At 52.7% G+C, this 20,394-nt stretch overlaps 1 protein-coding gene and 1 long non-coding RNA gene across 25 annotated transcripts, besides 5 other annotated features; one reads left to right on the forward strand and one right to left on the reverse strand.

Annotated features, from left to right (window-relative positions):
* Positions 1-2,077: 2,077 nt before the first annotated feature.
* On the reverse strand, positions 2,078-14,200 carry LOC124902493 (uncharacterized). Of its 2 annotated transcripts, none has more exons than XR_007062270.1 (3): positions 14,120-14,200; positions 6,963-7,099; positions 2,078-3,345 (listed from the first exon to the last, which is right to left on the reverse strand). It is a non-coding gene; the product is annotated as an uncharacterized LOC124902493 (long non-coding RNA). The 2 variants fall into 2 exon arrangements; XR_007062271.1 differs by lacking the exon at positions 2,078-3,345 and adding an exon at positions 8,018-8,110 and having other exon boundaries at positions 6,899-7,099; positions 14,120-14,178.
* Positions 2,199-2,268: an enhancer, noted in NCBI's record as "active region_3937". NCBI's record gives its function as "activates an Ori minimal core promoter by ATAC-STARR-seq in GM12878 lymphoblastoid cells {active_cell/tissue: GM12878}" and the evidence as "EXISTENCE:reporter gene assay evidence [ECO:0000049][PMID:35858748]".
* Positions 2,396-3,079: an enhancer, noted in NCBI's record as "H3K4me1 hESC enhancer chr10:104220868-104221551 (GRCh37/hg19 assembly coordinates)". NCBI's record gives its function as "activates a minimal SCP1, AML or CMV promoter by ChIP-STARR-seq in naive H9 embryonic stem cells {active_cell/tissue: H9 hESC(naive)}" and the evidence as "EXISTENCE:reporter gene assay evidence [ECO:0000049][PMID:30033119]".
* Positions 2,539-2,758: a silencer, noted in NCBI's record as "silent region_2762". NCBI's record gives its function as "represses an Ori minimal core promoter by ATAC-STARR-seq in GM12878 lymphoblastoid cells {active_cell/tissue: GM12878}" and the evidence as "EXISTENCE:reporter gene assay evidence [ECO:0000049][PMID:35858748]".
* SLC68A1 (solute carrier family 68 member 1) lies at positions 2,680-18,330 on the forward strand. Of its 23 annotated transcripts, XM_006717973.4 has the most exons (12): positions 2,680-2,735; positions 7,267-7,372; positions 9,572-9,617; positions 10,038-10,127; positions 10,240-10,482; positions 11,278-11,360; positions 11,950-12,402; positions 12,558-12,681; positions 14,139-14,235; positions 14,855-15,026; positions 15,104-15,297; positions 17,007-18,330. In XM_006717973.4, the coding sequence occupies exons 5-12, from the start codon at positions 10,315-10,317 to the stop codon at positions 17,267-17,269; spliced, it is 1,554 nt and encodes a 517-aa protein (XP_006718036.1). In that variant the 5' UTR covers positions 2,680-2,735; positions 7,267-7,372; positions 9,572-9,617; positions 10,038-10,127; positions 10,240-10,314; the 3' UTR covers positions 17,270-18,330. The 23 variants fall into 23 exon arrangements, with proteins under 23 accessions (XP_006718036.1, XP_011538462.1, XP_024303939.1 ...); XM_011540160.3 differs by having other exon boundaries at positions 9,572-10,127; XM_024448171.2 differs by lacking the exon at positions 11,950-12,402.
* Positions 3,080-3,762: an enhancer, noted in NCBI's record as "H3K4me1 hESC enhancer chr10:104221552-104222234 (GRCh37/hg19 assembly coordinates)". NCBI's record gives its function as "activates a minimal SCP1, AML or CMV promoter by ChIP-STARR-seq in naive H9 embryonic stem cells {active_cell/tissue: H9 hESC(naive)}" and the evidence as "EXISTENCE:reporter gene assay evidence [ECO:0000049][PMID:30033119]".
* Positions 14,750-15,193: a silencer, noted in NCBI's record as "fragment chr10:104233222-104233665 (GRCh37/hg19 assembly coordinates)". NCBI's record gives its function as "represses an EF-1alpha promoter that drives an FKBP-Casp9 reporter gene in an ReSE screen in phorbol 12-myristate 13-acetate-treated (for megakaryocytic differentiation) K562 erythroleukemia cells {active_cell/tissue: K562(+PMA)}" and the evidence as "EXISTENCE:reporter gene assay evidence [ECO:0000049][PMID:32094911]".

Raw genomic sequence — 20,394 nt, forward strand, 5'->3', positions numbered from 1 at the left:
TATCTGTCCCATGGTCCAGGGACTCCGGTATGGCTCAATGAGTTAGGGAGGTGATATGGCCTCTAGTTCATTGCATTTCCCCTCCCAGTTAGCTCTGTGACTGGCAACCACAAAGAGAAATCAGACAGAATCACAAGGCCCTGCCCTGATGCTGACATAAAAGGTAACTGGCTACGTTGTCTATATAATCAGAGGGTTGAGGGGCCTCAGAGTGTAACTGTGGGGCATTAAGTGCAACGTGAGAGACCAAAGGTCTTTTCTTTTTTTCTTTTTTCTGTTTTTCTTTTTTTTTTTTTTTTAGCCAGAGTCTCACTCTGTCGCTAGGCTGGAGTGCAGTGGTGCAATCTTGGCTCACTGCAAATTCCGATTCCCTGGATCAAGCAGTTCTCCTCCCTCAGCCTCCTGAGTAGCTGGGATTACAGGCACACGCTACCACGCCCAGCTAATTTTAGTATTTTAGTAGAGATGGGGTTTCACTATGTTGGCCAGGATGGTCTCGATCTCCTGACCTCGTGATCCAACCACCTCAGCCTCCCAAAGTGCTGGGATTACAGGTGTGAGCCACCTTGCCTGGCTGTGAGGGACCAAAGGTCTTTTCTCCTGGGTCACATCCAGCTCTGGCCCCTGCCAGCCCTCCCCATTTCCATTTCCCCACTGGATACCCAGGGAGGGCTAAGTAAAGACTCGGGTTTGCTTTGAAATAAAAGCACATGCTGGCCACAGATAGAAAGGCGGGGAGACTCCTTTAGCAAATGTATGGAGATCCCAGTGTGCCGGACCCCAGGCTGAATGCTGGGTTTTCTGTTCTCACAGCCAGGAAAGCACAGATGGAGGTAAGAGGTGAGGAGAGGGACAAAATGATCACCTGTCTTCTACTCATGAGGCTTTCTGGATCAGGAGGAGTTTCAGCAGTTGTCTAAGTCTAGAAGAGAGATGGTTGTATGTATGTGTGTGCGTGTATGTGTGGCTTGGGGTGACATGGGAAGTGTGAAGGGTGTCCGAAAGAGAGAGATTGGGAAGGAGGGAAATGAGACAGGTTAGTGGGAGATGGATTCTGGGGGCAAGGTTCATGGCATCCCTGGGGGCTCCTCAGGAACTGGTTGAATAATCTGTAGCCCCTGGACACTAGGCGTCTACATTGGACCATTTGCTGTGGTTGTTAGGAGGAGGACAACATTCCTGTTGCAGGAAGTTAGCCGACAACCATCAATGAAGGTCATAAGGATGAGCAGTTCACAAAGCTCCTACACCCTTGTTTCTCATTTAATGTCTGAAAAATCCCTGTAAAGCATAAAACAGACTCACAAAAGGAGGGTCCCAGCCAGGTGCAGTGACTCACGCTTATCATTCCAGCACTTTGGGAGGCTGAAGCGGGAGGGTCCCTTGAGCCCAGGAGTTCAAGACCAGCCTGGGTAACATAGTGAGACTCCATCTCTACAAATAATTCTAGAAATTAGCCAGGCATGGTGGAGTGAGGTGGTGGTCCCAGCAACTTGGGAGGCTAAGGTGAGAGGATCATCTGAGCCAGGGAGGTGGAGGTTACAGTGAGCTGAGATCATGCCACCACTGCACTCTAGCCTGAGCAACAGAGCAAGACCCTGTTTCAAAAAATAATAATAAAGAAGTCCCTTAGCAAAGAAGTGTTGGAGCTAGGGGTTGAGTTCCAAGTCCCCCATAAGGCAAAGGCCACAGGCTTTTTGCCCTGTGTCCCAAGGTAGGGGAACCAGGCAGAGCTGGAATGTGTGCTGTTTGCTTGCCCAAAAACCTATCCAGGCTTACAGGCCAATTGGGAGAAAACATAAAACATCCTCCACAGCCTACATTGAGCCAAACAAAACTTGATTTTGAGGGATTGTGCAGGTGTGGGAAGAGGAAAGACTCTTGTTATGGGAGTCAGGATAGCGGGTTCCACCTCGACTGGGCCCTTGCTGTTTGCGTGTCATTGAATCTCTCTGAAATGCAGTTTCTTCACATATAAAATGTGGATAAAAGCGCCTACCTCCTAGGAATGATGTGAGGACTCAACAAGAGAATGCACGTGTTGTTCTGAATGTAGTACGGTGCACATAGCAAGCACTCAGTACTCCTTAGGTTTTATTATTGCCGTTATTAATACAAAGAGGTTGTGCTGCATGGTTGCTCATTCAGGCCCTGGTGGCTGTTTCCCACCTTCAGCCCTGGCTCCTGTGGCTAGAGCCCTGGTGCCCACAGCTCAACCTGGACCTGTCCACCCTTGAAGGGCTCATGATGCAGCATCAGGGAGTCCCAGATCGAGCCGCTGACACCTCCAAGTCGGCTGCAGCTGTGCATCCGCTCAGACCACAAGACTCAATGGAGGATGCTGACCTCTCTTTGTTCTCCCAACGAGTACTAGGCAAGGAGGGAAGGAAGGTGAGCGCTTAGAAAAAACGTGTTGGTTTCAACTGAAATGACATTAAGCTATCGTGGAGGTAAAGGAGAGGGGTTGAGCCGGTCAGGAATCCAGGCAACCTGACCCTATTTGCCAGTGTCCGCTTTTAATTTTGGTCGCTAAGGGCAAGCGCCCGTGACAAACATGGCGGCGGCAGCCTCAGGCGCAGTCACCTGCCGGAGCTGCGCCCGGGGGCCGCGCGGAGCCAATCGCTGGGCGGGGGCGGAGGGAGAGGCTGGGGAAGCCCTAGAAGTGCGCGCAGGCGCATTGGCTCGCACCTGGCTCCCGCCAGCCGTGGGATTAGGCTTCGCCGGCTACGATTGCGGTGAGACGCTGGCCAGCGGCCGGGGCTCGCGGGCAGGAGCGGGCTGGGCTGGGGCCGATCTGGCACAAACGACAGACCCGAGGGGGAGGGGAATGCTTTGCGCTCTGGGAGTCATGGGGGCTATCTGCGGGGGTCTTTGGGGTGATCATATTGTGGATTGGGAGAGTTGTGTGGTCCGGGCGGAAGAAGCGGGGTTCAAGGGGGCAAGGGTGGAATCCTCGCAGAAAGGCTCTCCGGGGGTCTGGAGGAAAGGGATGCAGTGGGTCAAATAGCTCCCTGGTGGTCTGGGATCGAGGGATGCACTGGTCAGGTCGGGATCCGTGCCATTAGCATAAAGGCATTTAACCCTGGTGGCACTTGGGGAGCTTTGAAAAACACCGATGCTGGGCCCGCCCGAAGAGATTCCGATTTAACTGTTCTGGGTGAGGCCTGGGCCTCGGTATTATTGCACAGCTCCTCAGGTGATTTTAACGTGCAGGCGGTGGGGAGCAGCCCTACACGTGTTTCAGCACCAGCTATTGAGTGAAGAGCTCCTGGGCTGATCCCAAACTCCTCAGTGGCTTGGGAGGGGTGGGTGGTCCTGAGGTGAAGCTGTCGCCTCTTCTGGGACCTGTGGGGGAGGGAGAGGGAGAAGGTCCCCATCTCAACAAGTTGAAAGCTCATTTCCAGCCGGAGGAGGAGGATGGGCCCCCACCCCCCAACCCTGGTGCTAGACCCTGCTGTGGGGAGACTGGGCAGGAAGACAAGACCCCGAGAGTGAAACAGGAAACACAGCAGACAATTCAGGGGTCAGCTGCCTGTTGAGAAAAGGGCACATATTATACCTTTCATGTTCATTTGTTCATTTGGTATTCCTGAGGATAGGCAGAGAATGGAATTGTTTTCTCTGCTTCACAGATGTAGGAATAGACTCAGATAGTAAGTTAAAGATAATGTTCACACCTGACCCAGGGCTCCTGACTCCAAATTATGCCTCTTCTTAGCTTTTACCTCTGCACTAATGTCTCTTGTACAGTCTGATACCTCTCACTCCAGGGGCCCAGTTCGGCATTCTTGGTTTCCGCCACTAAATTCATCAACCTCCCCCACCCACCATAGGTTGGTTCAGAAATCAGGGAGATGTTGCTGCTTCCATCCCTTTCTAGTCTTTACCTACCAGGGGCCTGGTAGGGTGAAGGGGAAGAGTTTTGACACCTGCTAGAGGGCTTCTTCCAAACAGATCTGTCACTTCCCCACCCCCAGCGCCCCACCTGTTGTCCTCAGCATAGAATCTTGCACAAGGTTTACAAAACCCTTCCTGATGTGGCCCCTTTCTCCCGCGCTGCTCTGAGCTCTCTTCCCAGATTGTTTCTGTGTCTCTTAGCACAGTGCTGTGCACCCGGCGAAAGCTTAATAAATGTTCCTCTGTTATGATCACTATTCTTCTTTGTACCTGCTGCCTTGCTTTAGTGTCTTACTCAGAGAGGCACATCAAGCCTCCCAGGCTGCCCCTTCTCTCTGACTCCCACAGTTAAGCAGAACACAGAGCTAGGAGGGGCACAGTGGGGTCTGAAGATGACAGTTTTCCTATGACTGCTGCTGCTGTTCCCTAGGGCTGAGGATGTTGTTGATATTGACCTTTTAGGGGCCAATCGACCCAGCAGGGATTGACTGAGCAAGCTGAGGGAGCCTGGTGGAGGCAAAGGGCAGGGATCAAGGGCGGGACTAACCCAGCCCTGCTTTTTTTTTTTTTTTTTTTAAGAGACGGAGTCTCACTCTGTCCTCCAGGCTGGAGTGCAGTGGCGCGATTTCGGCTCACTGCAAGCTCCTCCTCCCGGGTTCACGCTATTCTGCCTCAGCCTCCCGAGTAAGCTGGTACTACAGGCGTGCCCGCCACCACGCCTGGCTAATTTTTGTATTTTTAGTAGAGAGGAGGTTTCATCGTGTTAGCCAGGATGATCTCGATCTCCTGACCTCGTGATTCGCCCGCGTCGGCCTCCCCAAGTGCTGGGATTACAGGCGTGAGCCACCGCGCCCGGTATCAGCCCTGCTTTTAAGAAGCCTGTGGGCTGGAGGAGGGGAAGGGAGGCATTTGGATGCCTGATAAGGGGGAAAACGGGAGAGAACACGTGATTGGGTGTGCTTGGGAAAGCCGTGACACTGGATGAGCAGGATTTGATAAGATGGGGGCAGGGTGTGGGGGGGATGATGAAGTGAGAACGCTGTTGTTTTAGTCAAAACCTGTTTTGAATCTTGACTCCAGCACCTACTAGCTTTGTAACTTGGGCCTGTTATTTAATCTTCAGAGCCTTGGTTTCTTCATGTACAGAACGTGAATGCAGATAGTAACAGAGCTGTAAGGGGTCTGATGATGGATATAAAAGCCAAGCATACCCTGTATGGCTGAGGAATAGTATATAGTTATCCTAGGGTATCTTAGGTGACAGGAACAGCATGAACAAAAGTGTGGAGGTGGCATTTAGAAAGGAATTTGATGGATGGCAGACAAGAGGGGCTAGGATATTCCAGGTGGCAAAAGGCATAAAGCTTGGGTGCTGGAAAGACAATTTCAATCATGGATTTGGCAGAAAGGTCAATGATTTTTATTTTTGATTGATGTTGCCCCAGCTGGTCTCTAACTTCTGGCCCCAAGTAATCCTTCTGTCTTGGCCTTCCCAAGTCCTAAAATTACAGGCATGAGCCACAACGCCCCACCTAGTGACTGATCTTTAAAGATCATGAAACCACACGGTGGCTCTCGCCTGTGAGCCAGCACTTCAGGAGGCCAAGGCGGGCGGATTGCTTGAGGTCAGGAGTTCAAGACCAGCCTGGCCAACGTGGCGAAACCCCGTCTGTACAAAAAATACAAAAATTAGCCAGGCATGGTGGCGCACGCCTGTGATCCCAACCATTTGGGAGGCTGAGGCAGGAAAATTTCTTGAACCTGGGAGGCGGAGGTTGCAGTGAGCCAAGATCCCACCACTGCACTCTAGCCTGGGCGACAGAGTGAGACTCCGTCTCAAAAAAAAAAAAATCATGAAACCAAACTTCAAAGAAATGGAAAGAAAATGGCTACTGTAGGCCGGGCGCAGTGGCTCATGCCTGTAATCCCAGCAGTTTGGGAGGCCAAGGTGGGTGGATCACAAGGTCAGGAGTTCAAGACTAACCTGACCAACATGGTGAAACCCTGTCTCTACTAAAAATACAAAAATTAGCTGGGCGTGGTGGTGCATGCCTGTAATCCCAGCTACTCGGGTGGCTGAAGCAGGAGAATTGCTTGAACCTGGGAGGCAGAGGTTGCAGTAAGCCGAGATTGTGCCACTGCACTCCAGCCTGGGCAACAGAGCGAGACTCTGTCTCAAAAAAAAAAAAAAAAGAGGAAAAAGAAAAAGAAAATGGCTACTGTGGGCCAGGCATAGTGGCTCACACCTGTAATCCCAACACTTTGGGAGGCCGAGGCAGGTAAATCACTTGAGGTCAGGAGTTCAAGACCAGCCTGGCCAATATGGTGAAACCCCAGTTCTATGAAAAATACAAAAATTAGGCCGGGTGTGGAGGCTCATGGCTGCAATCCCAGTACTTTGGGAGGCCGAGGCAGGCGGATCACAAGGTCAGGAGTTTGAGACCAGCCTGACCAATATGGTGAAACCCCGTCTCTACTAAATATACAAAAAAAAAATTTGCCGAGTGTGGTGGCGTGCGCCTGTAAATCCCAGCTACTCAGGAGGCTGAGGCAGGAGAATGGCTTGAACCCAGGAGGCAGAGGTTGCAGTGAGCCTAGATTGCGCCACTGCACTCCAGCCTGGGCGACAGAGCAAGACTCCATCTCTACAAAAAGAAAAAAAATTAGCCGAGTGTGGTGGCAGGCGCCTGTAATCCCAGCTACTGAGGAGACTGAGGAAGGAGAATTGCTTGAACCCAGGAGGCGGAGGTTGCAGTGAGCTGAGATTGAGCCACTGCACTCCAGCCTGCGTGACAGAGCGAGACTCTATCTTTAAAAAAAAAAAAATAGCTGCTGTGTATTGAGGGTCTTCCACGTAGCAGGCACTTGGCTTTAAATTCCTTTTGCATTTCAGCCCACAGCCATCTAAGAGGTTGACATTAACATCCCCACTTTGTGGGCGAGGAGCCTGAGGCTCAGGGAGAGGGAGTGACTGGCTCAAGGCCACCAGCTGGGACCATGAGGGTGGGTCTTGGAAGGTGCCAGGGAGGTGGGTGGAGTTGGTTGCAGGTTACAGGATTTCTCACCAGCTTATGCAAGGAGGCTGGTGTGGGCTCCAAGCTGTTCTTCCCTGGGAGAGGTGGGGCTGCTGTTCTCTGCTGGGGCAGATTGAGGGTGGGGAGGGCAAGTGGGAGAAGGCTGTTTCCCGATGGAGGAGTGGAATCTGGAAGAGAAAACATTAAAAGAGTAACCCTGCACACTCCTGCCTCAGCTTCCTCTCCAGGATGGCTGTTTACCTGGACAAGTTGCAGTTGGCACAGGTCTACAGGGGGCCGGGGGCAGTTTGTCTTTGGCATTCTCAAACATTGTATGTGTTCCTGCTCCTTGCAGGCCCCCATCTTCTGACTTTTCCTCGTGTGACCCATCTTTTCAAATTCCCTTACCTGAGGAAGGAGCCCGATTACAAGGATATTTACCTGCTCCTACCCTGATCTAGGTGAGCCCAATAAAAAGCTACTTTCTGAGCATCTTCCGTGTGACAGCACGGTGCTCTGTGCTTCCTGGACATTTGTTTAATCCTTTCTGTACCCCTGTAAAGATAGGCATTATTGGCCAGGCGCGGTGGCTCACACCTGTAATCCCAGCACTTTGGGAGGCTGAGGTGGGTAGATCACCTGAGGTCAGGAGTTCAAGACCAGCCTGGGCAACATGGTGAAACCCCATCTCTACAAAAATACAAAAATAAGCTGGGCATGATGGCAGGTGCCTGTAATCCCAGCTACTCGGGAGGCTGAGGTGGGAGAATTGCTTGAACCTGGGAAGCGGAGGTTGCAGTGAGCCAAGATTGCACCATTACACTCCAGCCTGGGCAACAGAGCAAGACTCCACCTCAAAAAAAAAAAAAAAAAAAAAGATAAGCATTATTACCTGATTTTATAGATGAGGAAACTCCGGCCCAGAAGGGTTGAATTGCCTGAGGTTACACTCTTAGTAGGAAGTACAGTTGGGATTTGAACCCAGGCCCTGCTGATGGCAAAGGTCATACCTGTTCCATCTCATTAACCTTTGAGGTTTTCTTCTACCCAGTGTGGGTGCAGGGAGGTGGCTGGGGGAGGCTGGGGACCTTGTGTTCAGGGCTCACCTTCTCCAGCAACAAGGACAAATCACTGGGCATCTGGGTAGGCGGGGGGAGCCTTCACTCCATTTTGACAAAGGCAGGAGAGTTCTGAAAGCCCTGGAGGAATTGGAGTAAGTGACCCTGCTAAGGATAGTGACAGAGGCGGACATTGTGCTTTACAGCCCTAAGCACCTTTAGAGAGCGTCTCATTTAATTCCCACCTCAGCCCTGTGTGGCGGGCATGGGGCCTCTCCATTTTAGGGAAGGGCTGAGAGGTTGGATAGTAATGATCTGTAAAGCTTTAATGCTCACCATTTTTAAACATTTATTTGTATTTATTTCTTTTTGAGGTAGAGTCTTGCTCCGTCGCCCAGGCTGAAGTGTAGTGGCATGTTCTGGGCTCACTGTAACCTCCACCTCTGGGGTTCAAGCGATTCTCCTGCCTCAGCTCCCCAGTAGCTGGGATTACAGGCGCCCGCCACCACGCCGGCTAATTTTTGTATTTTTAGTAGAGACGAGGTTGTGCCATGTTGGCCAGACTGGTCTCAAATTCCTGGCCTCAAGTGATCTGCCCACCTTGGCCTCCCAAAGTGCTGGGATTACAGGTGTGAGCCACTCCGCCCAGCCCCATATGTCTTTTTAACATACGTTACTCAGAAAAGCAGTGTCGAGGGAATGTAGGGTAATAGATGTGTTCATTATCTTGTTTGTGGTTATGATTTCACAGGTACATGCATATGGTAAAACTTATCAGCTTGCATGCTTTGAAAACTGTGCAGTTTAGTGTTTGTCAATTAGACCTGAATAAAGCTTTGAGGAAAAAAAGAAATGCATTTTCTTCAGGGGGTTCAAGGGCCTCAGGGAAAGGCCATCCTCCTGCCTTGGGACAAGATAGGATCACTGTGGCCCACGGGGGTGGTGGTGGGGACTTGCAGGCTTACAGTGCTTCTTCTTTTTTTCTTTTTGAGACTGAGTTTCGCTCTTGGTGCCCAGGCTAGAGTGCGTTGGCGCAATCTTGGCTCACTGCAGCCTCTGCCTCCCGGGTTCAAGCAATTCTCCTCCCTCAGCCTCCCTAGTAGCTGGGATTACAGGCATGTGCCACCATGCCCGGCTAATTTTTTGTATTTTTAGTAGAGACGGGGTTTCACCGTGTTGGCCAGGCTGGTCTTGAACTCCTGACCTCAGGTGATCCGCCTACCCCGGCCTCCCAAAGTGCCTTATTACAGGCGTGAGCCACGGCACCCGGCTGGGTCTCAGGGTTTTTATAAGCATAGGATGGGGGTGTGGTGGGCCGGGTGGTCTTGGGAAATGCAACATTTGGGCAGGAAAAAAAAAAATGCCTGTCCTCACCTAGGTCAGGCCCAGGGGTGGAGCCCTAGCCAGGGACCACGCCCTCCTCTACCCAGCACTTCCCTTCCCTGATTCCATATCATTTAAAGGGACCACATTCTTCCGTTTCTGGCACTTCCCTTCCCGTCTTCCTTATCAATACCAACAGTGAGTGCTTTCTGTGAGTTACCTTGTTTAATCCTTATGATTTGCAAAATAGGCCTAACAATCTCCTTTTACCTTTTGCAGAAGAGGAAGCTAAGGCCTGGGTTGGGTAACTGCCTGACGTTTTACTGTAAGTGCATTGTGTGCCCAAGCTCAGGGTTGTCCCGTCTAGACCATTAAAGTCACACAGTGCAATTTAAGAAGACAATGAGGCAATCTCAGCACTTTGGGAGGCCGAGGTGGGTGGATCACAAGGTCAGGAGATCGAGACCATCCTGGTGAATGAAACCCCGTCTCTACTAAAAATACAAAAAATTAGCCGGGCGTGGCGGCGGGTGCCTGTGGTCCCAGCTACTCGGGAGGCTGAGGCAGGAGAATGGCGTGAATCCGGGAGGTGGAGCTTACAGTGAGCGGAGATCTGGCTACTGCACTCCAGCCTGGGCAACAGAGCGAGACTCTGTCTCAAAAAAAAAAAAAAGACATCGAGCATCCAGCCCTGGCACGCGACCTGGCTCAGCACTTGCTGGGTGTCTGCCGTCTCTTCCCACAGGCTCTCTGTTTCCTCGAGTCACTCCCAGATTAGTGGTGTCTAGCTCAGCACTGTTTCTGTTATACTTCATTCATAATTCCCAGCGCTGTTGTAAGTACAAACTCTCTCCTGTTGGAAATGAGTTTTTAAATGATTCAGAGGTCTGGGGTTAAGAACAGAGCTGGCTCTGATCCCTGTTGCTCACTGGTTCCTTCTTCCCCAGGGACGAGGATGGGAAGACCGCCTGTGGCCATGAGCCCTCCCCGGTGCTCCTGGGGCTAAGGCTGGGGCTGCAGCCATGGGGCTGGGTCAGCCCCAGGCCTGGTTGCTGGGTCTGCCCACAGCTGTGGTCTATGGCTCCCTGGCTCTCTTCACCACCATCCTGCACAATGTCTTCCTGCTCTACTATGTGGACACCTTTGTCTCAGTGTACAAGATCAACAAAATGGCCTTCTGGGTCGGAGAGGTAGGGCCAGTGCTGGGTGGCTAACATGGAGGAGGGGGTGGGGTGGAGACTAGAGGCTGCCCAGGCTGCTGGGCAGATTGCAGGTGCCTGGTCCCACCCAGTCAGAGGCCTGGGCAGTCCAGGTTGTTCACCAAGACTCATCAAGAAAAGCTGTGGAGGCCTTGATGACTCCTCCTCGATGGGGACTAGACTAGCTTTCCTGGCCACTGTCTTACATAGTTGCTGTTCTGTGTACTCATATATATAATATGTTCACGTATATGAATTTATCAGCTGCATACATTTACCAGCTGGGCCCTGGATGGGTGGGAGTTTGAAGGGGGCAGTGGTTTGACTGGCAGAGTAGGTTTTTTTGTTTTTTTTTTTGAGATGGAGTTTCACTTTTGTCTCACAGGCTGGAGTGCAATGGCGCAATCTCAGCTCACTGCAACCTCCGCCTTCGTGGTTCAAGTGATTCTCCTGTCTCAACCTCATGAGTAGATGGGATTACAAGCACCCGCCACCACGCCCGGCTAATTTTTGTATTTTTAGTAGAGACGGGGTTTCGCCATGTTGGCCAGGCTGGTCTCAAACTCCTGACCTCAGGTGATCCACCTGCCTCGGCCTCCCAAAGTGCTGGTGTGAGCCACCAGCGCCTGGCCAGAGTGGGTTTTAGCAGAGGAACTGACACCAGCAAAGGTTTGCAGGTAGGAAAGCTGGGGCCATCTTTCAGGGGTGGTGAGCAGGCTGAGGGGGGAGGAGCCCTGGAGAGGATGCTGTCTAGAGCCCACCTTCCTGTCTCCCCTCTGCCTGCAGACAGTGTTTCTCCTCTGGAACAGCCTCAATGACCCCCTCTTCGGTTGGCTCAGTGACCGGCAGTTCCTCAGCTCCCAGCCCCGGTTGGTGTATTGGGAACAGCTCGTAATTGGTTCAGTCCCACCCTACTGCTACCCAGGAGGGAGGACCCCTGCCTGTGTTTGGGGTGGGGAAGGAAGGGGAGACTATTTCAGTGTTGCCCATGGCTCTTCCCTTACTGGGGTCCAGGGTGCTCTGTTTGGGTTGGAGAGGTGGCCTTGGACGTACACTTGCCTGGCTCGGCAGGGGAAGAGATCTACCCTGGCTTGGCTTGGTTGGCCCCTCTGGACTGTGGACTGCAAACACCCTCTGCTGCTTCTGGAAGATTCCTTTGCCCCATCCCTGCTTGAGCCCGTCATCACCCCCAACCTTGAGAAGTGGGCATCCCATACCCTTTGGCCATCAGCCCAACAGGCTAATAAGGGGGTGGAAATTGGGGCAGAGGAGGAGAGTGTACCCACTGGTGAGTTGTGCTTCCTAAGTTGCAGACTGGGGACTTAGGGGACAGTGGCACCACCCTGTTGTGAGTCCCACACCCTGGGCCTCCATCCCTCCCCTGGGGCCTGGGCAAGGGGAACTTCAGCCTGCCAAGTCTGACACGGCATCTCCCAACAACTCTCCTTTCCCCGGCAGGTCAGGCGCCGGGCTCTCCTCAAGGGCTGTGGTGCTGGCCCGGGTGCAGGCCCTGGGCTGGCATGGGCCGCTGCTGGCGCTGTCGTTCCTGGCGTTCTGGGTGCCCTGGGCCCCAGCTGGCCTGCAGTTCTTGCTGTGCCTGTGCCTCTATGATGGCTTCCTGACGCTCGTGGACCTGCACCACCATGCCTTGCTGGCCGACCTGGCCCTCTCAGCCCACGACCGCACCCACCTCAACTTCTACTGCTCCCTCTTCAGCGCGGCCGGCTCCCTCTCTGTCTTTGCATCCTATGCCTTTTGGAACAAGGAGGATTTCTCCTCCTTCCGCGCTTTCTGCGTGACACTGGCTGTCAGCTCTGGGCTGGGCTTTCTGGGGGCCACACAGCTGCTGAGGCGGCGGGTTGAGGCGGCCCGAAAGGACCCAGGGTGCTCAGGCCTGGTTGTGGATAGCGGGTGAGTGGCCAGCCCCGGCTCTTCAGGTCCTCACCAGCAACCTTCTAAGTCTGATTTCGGTGCTGGGTCCCCGGCTGATGGGGGCTGCCCTGGGATGTGTTGGGGGATAACTCTGGCCAGCCCCAGGCAGTTCTCCACTCCCTTCTGCCCCATAGCCTGTGTGGAGAGGAGCTGCTTGTAGGCAGTGAGGAGGCGGACAGCATCACCTTGGGCCGGTATCTCCGGCAGCTGGCACGCCATCGGAACTTCCTGTGGTTCGTGAGCATGGACCTGGTGCAGGTATGGGGAGCAGCTCCCGGCCCCTCTACAGCTGGGCTGGACTTCACTCAAGGGGACAGACTCCTCAAGAGCTGGGAACTTGGCCACGCATGGTGGCTCATGCCTGTAGTCCCAGCACTTTGGGAGGCTGAGGTGGGTGGATCACTTGAGGACAGGGGTTCGAGACCAGCCTGGCTAACATGGCGAAACCCCATAAAAATACAAAAATTAGCTGGGCGTGGTGTAATTCCAGCATATCTGTAATTCCAACTACTTGGGAGGCTGAGGCAGGAGAATCACTTGAACCCGGAAGGCGGAGGTTGCAGTGAGCTAAGATGGCACCACTGTACTCCAGTCTGGGCAACAGAGTGAGACTCCTTCTCAAAGAAAAAAAAAAAAAGAGCTGGGAACTGAGTTCTGGGCCACCCAGGAGGTCTGCTGGGCAATTCGATGGCAGGAATGCAGGTTGAGTAGTCAGGAGGCCTGGATTCTAGCTCCCTCTGAGCTTTTCCCTCCCTATGTGATCTTAGGCAGGTCTCAGGCTCTCTGGGTAGCCCTGTCCTCTCCTGTAAAGTGAGGATATGAGACAGAGATGCCCCCTTTGGGGACCCTCTAACAATCTTTTTAAGACAGCAACCACTGCCAGGTGCAGTGGCTCACGCCTGTAATCCCAGCACTTCGGGACGCCAAGGTGGAAAGACCGCTTGAGCCCAGGAGTTCGAGGCTGCAATGAGTTATGATTGCACCACTGCACTCCAGCCTGGGCGGCAGAGAAAGGCTCCATCTCTAAAAAAAGAAGAGCTAAGTGCTGTACCTAAAACATGCAGTATATAAACTGGCTGAACTTAGAAATAAACTGTTTTCATGTTATGAAATTTGTTTCACTAATGTGTTTTCTTTTCTTTTTTTTTTCTTCTCACTTTGTTGCCCAGGCTGGAGTGTAGTGGCATGATCTAGGCTCACTGCAACCTCTGCCTCCTGGGTTCAAATGATTCTCCCACCTCAGCTTCCTGGGTAGCTGGGATTATAGGCATGCAACACAACACCCGACTAAGTTTTTATATTTTTAGTAGAGACGGGGTTTCGCCATGTTGGCCATGCTGGTCTCAAACTCCTGGCCTTAAGTGATCTGCCTGCCTTGGCCTCCCAAAGTGCTAAGGTGCTAGGATTACAAGTGTGAGCCCCTGTGCCGAGCCTCACTAATGTGTTTTCAATTAAAAAGAAAAAGCTTTTAATTGCTCCAGTACTATTTTGCCGTGGCTTCTAACTTTTTAGCAAAGTTAGATAGCACCAGGAATGTGGTTTTAGGTTGTGTTCTGGCATGTTCTGTGTTTAGGGACATGGGGAAAAAGGCCTGCTCTCGCTCTTGCTGCTCTGAGGATGGGGAGTTGGGGGGGATGTGTGTTCCCCTGTTGGCTTCTGGCCTTGTCAGCTCTCCTCCCACTGGAAGCCTCCTCACCATCCCTGTCGGGTTGCAGGTCTTCCACTGCCACTTCAACAGCAACTTCTTCCCTCTCTTCCTGGAGCATCTGTTGTCCGACCATATCTCCCTTTCCACGGGCTCCATCCTGTTGGGTGAGTGTGGACCTTGGGTGCTTCATGCAAGCTGGAAGGAGAGAGACCTGTATTTTTAGTAGAGATGGGGTTTCACCGTATTAGCCAGGATGGTCTCCATTTCCCGACCCAGTGATCCACCTGCCTCTGCCTCCCAAAGTACTGGGATTACAGGTGTGAGCCACTGCGCCCAGCCAGGGACAATCTTTTTAAGACACCAAGTGCTGCCGGGTGCAGTGGGCATGGGGGGCAGGGTGTGGTGGGTGTTGAGGGGGGCGGAGGCTGTGCTGGTGTGGGTCCTCTTGGAGATGGTGGCACCCTGAGGGGGTGCAGTGGCTGGTTAACACAGAGGAATATCATCTGATGGGCCTGGGTGTGAGTCTTGACTCTGTGCTCATTTGGTGGGCAGCCTCAGGTGGGTTAGTTCATCTTTTTGGGCCTCTCTTTCTCATCCGTAAAGTGGGGATGATAATAGTACTCACCTTAAGGGGCTGTGAAGATGAACTAAGACAGTGAAGCTCTTAGCACAGAGCCCAGTGCATCGCTAGTGTACAGGAATGCAGTCGGCTGTGAAGCTGATGGCGCTCACTGGCACTGCAGCAGTGCCCTTGACAAGGTGGCTCCCCGTCTTCCTCCCCAGGCCTCTCCTATGTCGCTCCCCATCTCAACAACCTCTACTTCCTGTCCCTGTGCCGGCGCTGGGGCGTCTACGCGGTGGTGCGGGGGCTCTTCCTGCTCAAGCTGGGACTTAGCCTGCTCATGTTGTTGGCCGGCCCGGACCACCTCAGCCTGCTGTGCCTCTTCATTGCCAGGTATGCCCCTGCCCACGCTCCCCGCAACACCTCCATCCCATGCCTTCATTCCTGCCTGCTCTCTCCCTCTACTGCAGCAACCGCGTCTTCACTGAGGGCACCTGTAAGCTGCTGACCTTGGTGGTCACTGACCTGGTAGACGAGGACCTGGTGCTGAACCACCGCAAGCAGGCAGCCTCGGCACTCCTCTTTGGCATGGTTGCCTTGGTGACCAAGCCAGGCCAGACCTTTGCCCCGCTGCTGGGCACCTGGCTGCTCTGTTTCTACACAGGTGAGGGCCTGGTAGCAGGCAAGGGCTCTTAAGGCTCCAGGGGGCACAGCTTACCTGGCACAGTGGCTGGCAAGCCTGGGCTCTGGGTCCAGTGACGGAAGGTGGCAACTGGCGTCCCCTCAACATGGCTAGAGTCACTGGGTCACCGATTCCGCCATGCTTTCTTAGTTCATTCATTTATTCATTCATTCAACAAATATGTACGGAATCCCTTCTCTGCAGGTCCTGCTGTGGGTGCCAGGGAGCTAACCATGAATAAGATAGACAAAGTCTTTGCCACCACGGAGCTTGTATTCTAGTCAGGGGTGGGCTGGGGTTGGCAATAAACATCCAAACAAGACATTATCAGGCAGTAATAGTGTTATGGTGAAATTAAGGTGATGTGAGATGGCGTGACCAAGAAGCTATGTAGTATTATCAGGGAAGGCCTCTCCGAGAAGGTGCCCCTCAGGATGTGAGCTGAATGGCAAGGATTTGTCTAGAAAAGGTCTCAGTGAATCGCAGGCAGAGGGAACAGCAGGCGCAAAGGCCCAGGGTGTCAGGGGTGATTAGGAAATGTGGCTGGAAAAGCGAAGAGGACTTTGTTGATCAGGGCAGTGTTGGAAGCAAGCTGTTGGGAGGGTTTTATTTTTATTTATTTATTTATTTACTTTTTGAGATAGGGTCTCCCTGTCACCCAGGCTGGAGTGCAGTGGCACGATCTTGGCTCACTGCAGCCTCGACCTCCCAGGTTCAAGTGAGCCTGCCACCTAGCCTCCCAAGTAGTTGGGACCACAGGCGTATGCCACCATGCCTGGGTAACTTTTTGTATTTTATGTAGAGATGGGGTTTTGCCAGGTTGCCCAGGCTGGTCTCAAACTCCTGAGCTCAGGTGATCCACCCACCTTGGCCTCCCAAAGTGCTGGGATTACAGGCATGAGCCACCACGCCCGGCCAGGGAGGGTTTTAAACAGGGAAGTGACGTAGTGTGATTGACTTTTTAACAAAATTCACTCTGGGCTGGGTGAGGTGGCTCACACCTGTAATCCCAGCACTTTGGGAGGCTGAGGAGGGCAGATCACCTGAGGTCAGGAGTTTGAGACCAGCCTGGTCAACATATAGTGAAACCCCCGCCTCTACTAAAAAATACAAAAATTAGCTGGGTGTGGTGGCGCATGCCTGTAGCCCCAGCTATTTGGGAAGCTGAGGCAGGAGAATCGCTTGAAACTGGGAGGCCGAGGTTGCAGTGAGTGGAGATCGTGCTACTTCACTCCAGCCTAGGTGACAGAGCGAGACTCCCTCTTTCCAAAAAAAAAAAAGTTCACTCTGGCTGCCATATGGACAGCAGATCATAGGGAGGCCAGAATGGGGACAGCAGGGACATCTTTGGGAGACTGGCAGAGGCCGTGGAGACTTGGGCCAGGGTGGTGGCAGGTGGGATACGTTTTGGAGTTGGGGGGAGATGAAGGATTGGGTGTTGGGGAGTGATGGCGTGAAACCAACCAGGGAACTGAGGAGGACTTTGAGGTTTTGGGCCTGAGTTATTGGGTGGATGGTGGTGCCCGTCACTGAGATGGGAAGAGTAGGAGAGGAGTGGGTTTGGAGGAATCAGGAGTTGTGGTCTGGACACGTCCATGTGGTGTCTGAGATGTCACACCATAGACTTGGAGGGCACCAAGGCTTGGAGGACAGTGGGCTGACCATGGTCTTTCTGTGCTCTCTTGTCCTAGGTCATGACCTCTTCCAGCAGTCCCTCATAACCCCTGTGGGGAGTGCCCATCCCTGGCCAGAGCCCCCAGCTCCAGCCCCTGCACAGGCCCCGACGCTCCGCCAGGGCTGCTTCTACCTGCTGGTGCTGGTGCCCATCACCTGTGCTCTGCTGCAGCTCTTCACCTGGTCCCAGTTCACGCTGCATGGGAGACGCCTGCACATGGTCAAGGCCCAGCGCCAGAACCTGTCACAGGCCCAAACCCTGGATGTTAAGATGGTGTGAGAGCTGTGGCAAGGTCACCCCACTGAGGATGCTGCTGGCAGCCTGGGGAAGGAGCCAGTTTTTTTTGGTTTTTTTTTTAAGGATTTCATAGTTTTTTTTTTTTTTTTTTGGAGCTGTTGCCCAAAAAAATGGATCTGTTGCAGTGGTGCAATCTGGGCTCACTGAAACCACCACCCAGGTTCAAGCAATTATCCTGCCTCAGCCTCCCGAGTAGGTGGGATTATAGGAGCGTGCCACCATGCCCGGCTACTTTTTGTATTTTTAGTAGAGACAGGGTTTCATCATGTTGGCCAGGCTAGTCTCAAACCCCTGACCTTAGGTGATCAGCCCGCCTCGGCCTCCCAGAGTGCTGGGATTACAGGCGTGAGCCACTGTGGCCAACCTAATTTTTGTATTATTTAGTAGAGACAGGGTTTCACCACATTGGCCAGGCTGGTCTCGAACTCCTGACCTCAAGTGATCTGCCTGCCTTGGTCTCCCAAAGTGCTGGGAATACAGGCATGAGCCACCGCACTCGGCCAGGAGCTAGTTTTACCAGCACCCTGCTCCACTGCCTTCCTCTAGTGCAGCCTGGAAGACATGGCAGCGGGTAGCTCCTGGGGCTGAGCCAGAAGCATCACTGCAGTGAAAGTCTCTGCTTACCTGTCTGGCTCAGCTTGGGCAAGGGCTGGGCCATATGTGCTCAGGGACGTGCTTCTCTTGTAAGGCAGGAGGACAGAAGAGGACCAAGAAGGGAGGGGGCTGCCCTGTGGTGCACACAGGCCTGCCATGGGGCGTGGGAGCCCATCCCGCTGCCTGACTGGAGCTGGCCGCTGTGGTGGACTCAGGAACCACTTTTAATACTGCAACTGCTCCCTTTTGCCCAGTCAGGGAAAGCTGACTGTAAGTCCCACCTCCCACTCCGTCCACCCTTCTAGTGGTTTCTCTGAGAGGTTTCTCTGCTTCAGCTGTGCTTGAAGTGGCATGCCTCCTCTGCTGCAGGGCTCCCCCACCCCCACACGGCCTCTAAAGATGTTTATTTCCTTATAGACTGATTAAAGTCAGCCATTCTTTTTCCTCAAGTCTGTGCTGTGTGAGTGAGTGGTGGGTTGCTGGGGTTGAGAACCAGGATTCCTTACTGACTAGAAAAAGCCCCTGAGAGCATTTTTCTGAATAAGAGTGGTAGGTAGGCCGGGCGCAGTGGCTCATGCCTGTAATCCCAGCACTTTGGGAAGCCGAGGTGGGTGGATCACCTGAGGTCTGGAGTTTGAGACCAGCCTGAGCCAACATGGCAAAACCCCATCTCTACTAAAAATACAAAAATTAGCCAGGTGTAGTGGTGTGTGCCTGTAATCCCAGCTACTTGGGAGGCTGGGGCAGGAGAATCGCTTGAACCCAGGAGGAGGAGGTTGCATTGATCGCGCCACTGCATGCACTCCAACCTGGGCGACAGAATGAGACTCCATCTCAAAGAAAAAAAAAACCCACCTTGGTGGGTTACCAAGATGCCAGGGAGAAAAACATAGATTGGTAACTGCATAGGCACTCGGGCCCAAAATGACCATTAGGCCTCAGTGCATTTCCCATGTATCACTGCTGGACATGGTAGTCAAAGAGAGAGGAGCCTCTTTTAGGCCCGAGGTTCTCAGCCTTGGGGTCCCCTGGGGAACTTAAAAAATACTGACATCTCAGTTCCATTCCTTGGGATTCTGACTTAATGTGTCTGGGGTATGGCCTGGGCAGTAGGATTTTGAACATCTCTGTAGGTGATTTTATCATGCAGCTGGCACTGAAAACCATGACTCTCAGCCACCATTTCTCAACCTTGGCACTAGCACTGGAGATATTTGGGGCCAGATTGTTCTCTGTTGTAGACATTTAGCACCCCCCACCCCACCCCACACACACACCAGTTGCGACAAACAAATACATCTCCAGGCATTGCCAGATGTGTCCTGGGAGGCAAAATTGGTTCCAATTGGGAACCACTGCTCTAGGCCAATGGTTTTTTACAGGCTGCATGGTGATTAAAAATGTAGGCTGTAGGTTCTATGGCCTGGGTTTACATTCGGGATTAAGAAAGGCCAGCGCTGGGCACGGTGGCTCACACCTGTAATCCCAGCACTTTGGGAGGCCGAGGCAGGCAGATCACCTGAGGTCAGAAGTTCGAGACTAGCTTGGCCAACATGGTCAAACCCCATCTTTATTAAAAATATGAAAATTAGCTGGGCACAGTGGCAGGCACCTGTAATCCCAGATACTTGGGAGGCTGAGGCAGGAGAATTGCTTGAACCCAGGAGGCAGAGGTTGCAGTGAGCGGAGATTGAGATTGTGCCTCTGTACTCTAGCCTGGTGACAAAGTGAGACATGATCTCAAAAAAAAAAAAAAAAAAAAAAAAAGGCAGAACTTTGGAAAATTGCTTAATCTTTCTGTGGCTCCAAATCCTTATCTGTAAAATGGACAACAAAAGCACGTATATTTTGTAAGGTTATTGGGAAGATTAAATAGTTACCATTTGGCAAAGACCTGGCAATTTTCCTCCCAAGTGCAGGTTTTAAACGGAGAAGTGATTAATCAGGATATCTGAGTATGGGCCCTGGAAACTGCACTGTAATAAGCTCCTGGCCTTCTTCTTTTTTTTTTTTTTTTTTTTGAGACAGAGTCTTACTCTGTCGCCCAGGCTGGTGCGATCTCAGCTCACTGCAACCTCTACTGCCCGGGTTCAAGCGATTCTCCTGCGTCAGCCTCCTGAGTAGCTGGGATTACAGGCGCCTGCCACCACGCCCGGCTAATTTTTGTAGTTTTTAGTAGAGACGGGATCTCACCATCTTGGCCAGGCTGGTCTTGAACTCCTGACCTTATGATGCACTTGCCTTGGCCTCCCAAAGTGCTGGGATTACAGGTGTGGCGTGAGCCACCGTGCCCGGCCAAGCTCCTGGCCTTCTTATTCACTTGACAGTTTTGAGAATCTTTGATTTCAGGGATGTTGAGAGCTGCTCCTGTCATCTGGAGTTGAGTCTCACCCATGGGCTACAGTGTACACAGGAGTGGGACCTTCTGTTCTTGAACTTAGGCTGTGGTGTGATCACCCTTTTCTCTGCATCCACCTGACAGGCTGGGACTTGGGCTATGCTCTGGACAAGGC

Source organism: Homo sapiens, chromosome 10, assembly GCF_000001405.40.
Source record: "Homo sapiens chromosome 10, GRCh38.p14 Primary Assembly".
Taxonomy (NCBI): Eukaryota; Metazoa; Chordata; class Mammalia; order Primates; family Hominidae; genus Homo; species Homo sapiens.